The sequence below is a fragment of the Homo sapiens genome, chromosome 9, assembly GCF_000001405.40.
Source record: "Homo sapiens chromosome 9, GRCh38.p14 Primary Assembly".
NCBI lineage: Eukaryota > Metazoa > Chordata > Mammalia > Primates > Hominidae > Homo > Homo sapiens.
The window spans coordinates 41,397,306-41,404,849 of record NC_000009.12 but is presented as its reverse complement, the minus strand read 5'-3'; the positions used below and the strand labels follow the sequence as shown (position 1 = coordinate 41,404,849).

The 7,544-nt window shown below is 33.3% G+C and overlaps 2 long non-coding RNA genes across 2 annotated transcripts in view; both read right to left on the bottom strand.

Annotated features, from left to right (window-relative positions):
* LOC124900272 (uncharacterized) overlaps window positions 1–7,544 on the bottom strand; it is a 90,204-nt gene that overhangs the window by 43,279 nt on the left and 39,381 nt on the right. The gene's annotated exons all lie outside the window — the stretch shown is intronic.
* LOC107984035 (uncharacterized) overlaps window positions 1–7,544 on the bottom strand; it is a 123,240-nt gene that overhangs the window by 77,252 nt on the left and 38,444 nt on the right. The window lies entirely within an intron of this gene.

Sequence of the window (7,544 nt, the reverse complement as noted above, 5' to 3'; positions counted from 1 at the left end):
CTAAGTTCAGTAACAGAAGATCATTACTTTCTCTGGCAATTTGATACAACATGCTTCATATATTCCAAAATTCATCAATTTTCTGCTCTGTTGATGTCCTCCTTTATTATGTTAAAGAGTTGCCACAGTATAGTTTATTCATAATGCTATTTTCAGTTGAATTGCTAGAGCTCCACTTTAGCATTTTAAAATCATATTATCGCATGTTTATTTCCAAATTAAAATCCTCTCTTAAAAATCAGGGATATCAGTATTCATCTCTTTTTATGTAAAAATATTAAAAAATTAGAAGTGAAATATCACAGAAGATATTTTAAATATGAAGACAAATAATGAAATAAGGAGAATTTTAAAAGCCAAATATTTTGGATCAGAGTAAGAAGTTAGTGGTAAAAGATAAAGGTTATCCAACAACCTTTTGCAAATGAAGCCAAAAAAGTAGGTTTGTGCAACAGTGAATAACTAAAATTACAACTCTTTTATATTTCATTAAAAAACATGCCCTTTTTCAAAATGTCAGATCGGTTTAATCACACCATAAAATTATTTACCCAAAGTTAAGGAAAAATAGCATACTGTCATATAAGTAGAAAATTTAAATACACAATTGATATTTAACGTTCTCTAAGCAATGTAAAGATTTCTTTTAAGGCATCTAACAGAGTTGTATTTATTATTAGGGATCAAAAAGTGTATAAATTAGCACAATATATTTTATATAAAATGAATCTGATTGTGTTTTCTCTTATAAGAGTATACAATTATAATTCTGAATTTTGAATTTATTCTTAAACAAATAAAAACAACTGCTATATCTGAATTCTTGTTTTATGTCACTCTTGTGCATATTTTTTACTATCTATATTTTAGGCATTTTATAGGTTAAGTATGCGCAGTTGGAGCTTACTCAATATAGCCTAGCAATGCTCCCTGTTTCTTTTTTTTAACCTTTAATTTCAGGGGTACATGTGCAGGTTTGTTATATAAATACATTTGCATCATGGGGGTTTGTTTTACAGATTAATTCATTACCCAGGCATTAAGCCTATGATTCATTAGTTATTTTTCCAGATGGTCTCCCTCCCCCGACCTTCTGCCCTCTTGCAGGCCCCGGTGTCTGTTGTTCCCTTCTTTGTGTGCATGTGTTCTCATCATTTAGCTTGCACTTACAAGTGAGAGAATGTGGCATTTGTTTTTTCGTTCCTACATTCATTTGCTAAGGATAATGGCCTTCAATTCCATCCATATTCCTTCAGAACACATGATCTCATTCCTTTTTATGGCTACATCTTATTCCCTGGTGTATATGTTCAACATTTTATTTATCCAGTCTTTACTATTGATGGCCATTTAGGTCTATTCCATGTCTTTGTTAATGTGAATAGTGCTGCAGTGAACATATGTGTGCGTGTGTCTTTATAATAGAACAATGTATATTCCTTTGGATATATACCCAGTAATGGGATTGCTGGGTCTAATGGTAGTTCTGTTTTTAGGTCTTTGAGGAATCACCACACTGTTTTCCACAATGGCTGAATTAATTTACATTCCCTTTAACAGTGTATAGTGTTCCTTTTTCTCTGCAACCTTACCAGCACCTGCTATTTTTTGACTTTTTAATAATAGCCATTCTGACTGGTGTGCTTACTGGTTCTTAATCTCACCCACATCTTAGAATAATGTGGAACATTTCAAACTACCGACACCTCTTTCTAAAAACTGAAGTTCTGTTTTAATTGGACTTTAGTAGAGCCAAGAAATGAGTATTATTTAAAATCTTGCCATGTGATTCTACTAGGAAGCCAGGGTTCAGAGCCATGGATTACATTTTTAATATAAATACACATTATTAGTTGAAGCAGTTTTAAGTTAGGATAGCTGTAACGTTGATTGAAAGGGGAATACTTAAAACAGAACCCTGCCTTGGGTCGTCAAGACTTAAAAAATTCTTCTGTTTTTATTCTATTAAATATAATCATGCATTCACTTACTTTAGCATTTATAATTCTAAAACACATTGCAAATTTCACAAAACTACCATTTTCTAAATGTCAACACTCTAAATACACCATTTATTTTTCAAAGTAGTATATTCACTTCAAATTCCATTGCTGTGTCAAGAGTTAGTTGAACTTAAAATATAATTAATAGTTACTCAGCAAAAATAGAAAGATGTTAGCTGACTGTGTCAAAAGAAATATTTTAACACTGATTTCATTTTTACTAAATGACTGAATTTGTCTTTATATTTTATGCTTAAGCTTCTCTGCTTTCTTTCTATTTTTTGTGGTTTAAATAAAGAACCATGATTATCTGTATAACTGATTGCTCAAAGTAATTAATCATTTTTCTTATGAAATTACCAGGGTAAATTAAGAATCATAATTACAGAGTTTTCTCTTGTCTAGAGGAAACATACTGAGAAACTGTGTTAGGAAATTATTATTTCAAAACCCAGTCTAAGTTCTTAGCCACTGGACTTTAAAAAATACATATTACATATACTTTTTCTAACATGATTGAGAATATAGTTTGTTTCAGATTTCCACATTTCTTAAATGAAAACAATAAAGAATTCAAAAGGCAAAAGGTACTGTAAAAAAAAAAGGTATTCGATCTCATGTAAATGAGAATCCTACACTCTCAGTGAATTTTACTAGAGGGGAACTTATTGTCACATCAGATTGTTTGTTCAAGATACTATTTCTGATGTATTTTATTAAAGAATTCAAAAGGCAAAGGTATTGTAAAAAAAGTTATTTGATCACATGTAAATGAAAATTCTACCTTCTTATTGAATTTTACTAATTAGAGGGATAATTATTCTCGCATCAGGTTATTTGCACAAGATACTATTTCTGATCTATTTTATTAAAAGTCACCATTTATCATTGGTTTTCATCTCATGTTATATATGCAAATGAAACTCCTTTGAGTATGCAACGGTTATTTACTGCAGTGAATATTGTATAATCATATTTATCAAAATGTTCTTCTTTGAAATATTTTTCTAGTGCTTATTAGCAAACAGTTTTTATATTTGAGAAAGTGAAACGTGGACTTCAGAATCAGATTTAGGCCATATGGTAAGCCAGTTGCCTGAAAAATCTTCATAACAAATGCTAATATTGATGAATTTTGGAGATGTCATTATATATGTATACCTAAAACTACAGGAAAACAAAGAAAATTACCAATGCCAGAAACACAGGCAACACTTAAAACCAGCAAGACCAGTTGCTCTGACTTTTCTGGATGGCAAGAGAGATGGACCCAGCAATTTATAAATTTGGATTTTCTTTTTTTTTTTTTTTTTTTTTGAGACGGAGTCTCGCTCTGTGGCCCAGGCGGGAGTGCAGTGGCGCAATCTTGGCTCACTGCAAGCTCCGCCTCCCGGGTTCACGCCATTCTCCTGCCGCAGCCTCCCGAGTAGCTGGGACTACAGGCGCCCGCCATCACGCCCAGCTAATTTTTTTTTGTATTTTTAGTAGAGACGGGGTTTCACCGTGTTAGCCAGGATGGTCTCGATCTCCTGACCTCGTGATCCACCCGCCTCGGCCTCCCAAAGTGCTGGGATTACAAGCGTGAGCCACCGCGCCCGGCCAAATTTGGATTTTCTTAATGCTCATCAGCGAAGGGGTGATGCATAGCTGGACCTAGATTGAAAGAGTAAAGAAAAATACTTATTAACCAACCCAGTATAATTAAGAAGTTTGTCTGTAAATACTAGAACAATTGGTAGAAAAAACAAATACATATTCTCCCCTGAGAATCTGTAACATCAGGATTATCCATCATGTGTTGTTTGACTTCAAACTTTTAAATTATACAGCCTTGAACCATGAACCATCAAATTAACAAATTAACATATAGATTATTTTCTGGCCATTGATACACTGGAAGTTTGGTGGAAGAGATGCAAAATCATTCCAGAGCAAAAGCTGAAAATTTTTTTCTGCAAAGGGCAAGATAATAAACATCTTAGGCATTATTGACCATTTTAAAGAGCAGCTTATAGTCACCAAAAGGAATATCAACAAACTAGAAAGTGAAGATGAAGAATTATCCAGAATGCAGAATATGAACCAAAAGATAGAACATAAGATAAGCTGAAAGCCATGGAGGATTGAATAAAACTATCCAAGGAATATCTAAAAGAAATTCTGAAAAGAGAATAGTAGGAATAAAAATAATGGGATTATAATAGTTTGCTTCTACTTCTGGGATGAATGTAGTAGTTGTATAAGACACATACTCTTATTAAAATGACAAGAAAAAGCTGGATAAATTATAAAAGCCATATATTTTTTAAAGCATGAGGGAACTGTAGAAACAATGATGAATAGATGAACTAAGAGTACAGACATACCTGAGTGTTCGAAATGGGCCAAAGAGCATGATGCATTCATAGCGTCTACTAGTCAATTCTGGCACAAATTAGGAAGTAGAAGGCATGTTCAATGGAGGCAAAACAGTAATATATATATAAACATGTGGGTAAGTCTAAAGAAGCATTTGCTATATTGAATCAAACAAATACAATAAAGTAAAACAAATACTAGAGAACATTGTTAAGCTGAGTTAAGTTTGGCTCAAAGTGCCCATTGTACTTGCCTAATTAAGTTTGGCCCAAAGCGGCATCCATACATAGTGACTGTACTCTAACTTAATGTGTAGATAAGTTGTAAGCTAATGTAGATATATGGACTTGTAACCAAGCAACTGAGACTCAACCAATCATAGGAGCCAAACCCTTAGTCAATCCTAGGCTGAATGCTGCCAAATTATGCCCAAATAAGGCAAATATTGAACTGCACCAATCAGGGAAACTCTGAATATAATTTTATATGTTCTGGTTATAAATACATCTCACCACTCTGGATGTGGAGTCACTCTGAACGATCTTTGTTCTGGGATGGTGCCTACTTCTCAAACCTTTTTCTTGGTCAAATAAACTTAGTGAAATTTAACATGTCTTAGTTGCATTTTTTTTAAACAACATTCAAAGACCTACAAAATAGGACAGGGAACTTGTATTTAGACTATACTGTCTAAATGCAACGTATTTATGCTAGTTATTTGTGTGTTATAGAGAATATAGTGATATTGATATACTTTAAGTCATTTATGTACATCGGGAAGAGGAAAAAAAAAGTTACCCAATTCAATGGAAGTCAAACGAAGAAGCAGAACAGAGCTACCAGAAAAACATGATAAGAGTTAAAGAAGATGGGAGCTCAAAGAGGAAAACTGTCACTGAATTTGGGGAACTTTTCCTTGCAAGCCAAGTTAACTTTTATTCAGATAGAATTCTCAGATGAAAAAGACAGAAATTATAGTCTATGGCTGACAAAATATAGAGAGTCTGCCCAGAGACTTTTGCTATTCTAAGCTAGAATCATAAGGTTAATACACTCCAATGAAGGAGAAAACAAGAACCAGCTCTTGAGCATACTTGAAGTCTGGGACCAAATCTGAGTTGTTCAGATACTCATATTTTCACCCTGATTTAAGATGATCTGATATGGGTAATGCTTGCATAAGCAAAACTTCTGGAGGAACTTATCTCCATAGTAGACAACAAGGTAATCTTAAACTATCCTGACACTAATTGGGTGTATAAACTTGGCCAAGTCATTTTTCCCTTTGAGTCTCAGTTTCCTCAACTGTAACGTGAATATGAAAGTAACTAACTTGTAGGTCTGTATTAAAAATAAAGTCAATTATTTTGGTAAATCATTTGTATGCAATATAGCATACATGAGAGAGAGAGAGAGAGTTTGTGTGCATGTGTTTAGAGAGACATGGAGAGAGAGACACACATACACAGAGAAGAATCAGTATATTGTTAAGGATAACAACATCCAGAAACAAATCGACAGACAAGAAAAACAATTTAAATAATAGAATTATCAGACAGAAGTTAAAGAACAAAACATAGGCTTAAAGATGCACATAGGAAAATACAAATATGATCATGGTAGATTTAGAAAGGAAATACCTGCTAGAAGTAACAGAGAACTACTAGAAAATTAACGAAGTGCAGTAGGAAGAAAGAAAATAAATTATTGAAGAAAAGTTTCAAGATACAAAGGATAGAGTTAAACGTTAATATGTGTCTAAACTTTACCAGGAAAAGAGAGACAAAGGCAATAACTAAGGAAATAATAGAGAATGTTTTTAGTACTGATTGAAGACAGATATAAGCAGATTTAAGAAGGTCAACAAATTCTGAGTGGAGTAAGAAAAGTACAATGAAGAAAACAAAAGACAAAGCCAAAATTCTGTAAAGCAGCCTGAAAATAAGGCTTATTACCATTAAATAACAACATTTCAGTCTATAGAAACTTACATCCTAGGAGAGGGAATACTTTAAATAAAAAAGTAATGGATGAAAAGAGAAAAATTCCATCAAGTGGGATAACTGTTATCCATAAAGAAGTAGCAGGTGAAATGGGGAGTAAAAAAACAAACATATATAAATCCTCTTATTTTATATATTATAGCTCAATTTTATTCCCATCTTTGATAATCCAAAAATTATACACTGATCAATATATCTGTTCTAAATGTTAAGATTCCAACAGGTAGATCATGTCTCTCAAAATGTGTTGCACATTGCCTCAACTGGAGGTTCATGATGCATATTAAAATAAGAAAGGCTTAGAGAATTCTTACAGCAAGGAAAACAATGTAAGTTTATTTAATTTAGTGTTTTAGCTATATATTTAATAATTATTTTAGGTAGGCAGTTGTTTAAAGACAATAGAAATTACTTGGAATTTAAAGCAAGCAAAAATGAATGCGTTGGAAAAGCACAACGCAGCTCTTAGAATTGAAAAAAAAAGTAGGTGAACCAGCCTCAGGCAGTAATCAGAGAGCAAGTCAGAACCAGTATCAGAAAAAGGAAGTTCTGCTTTTCATGTGGCTATTGTCCTGTCAGTCATGACCGCTGGCCACTGCCAGCAAAGCATGCACAGGCATTTTCTGGAATGCTGCTGGGCTCTGCTTTAGCTTGTCACTTCCCACTTTACCATTGGATTCAAAAAATCTATCCATCTGACAGGAATAATTTCAGACTCTCTGCCTACTTCTTACCTTGCAAGGTTAAAAATGCAAGGAATGAGTGGTTATTCTTGGGTCTCTGGTTTACATTTTAGCCTCCAGTTGGTGGGAAGAGAAAAATCTACTCACAAACAGCTTCAAAACGGAAAGGTCCTATATTGGCATTCCTACATAAAAGAAAGTACTGGGGGGCTTGACAAATGGACATTTGTCTTCAAAGAACACATTTTCTCCTTTAGACAAAGTTTGCACTTATATAGCACAATTAACCTACTTCTTATCAATCAATAAAATGAAGAGACAATTACAGAACAGGATAAGGTGTTTGCAAACTATGTATTCAACAAGGTTTGATATCCAGAATATATAAGGAACTCAAAAAACTCAATAGCAAAAGAAAAAGTTGACTAAAAAATGGACAAAAGAAGACATACAAATGGCCAAAAAATATATAAAGAAATGCTCAACATCATTAAGCC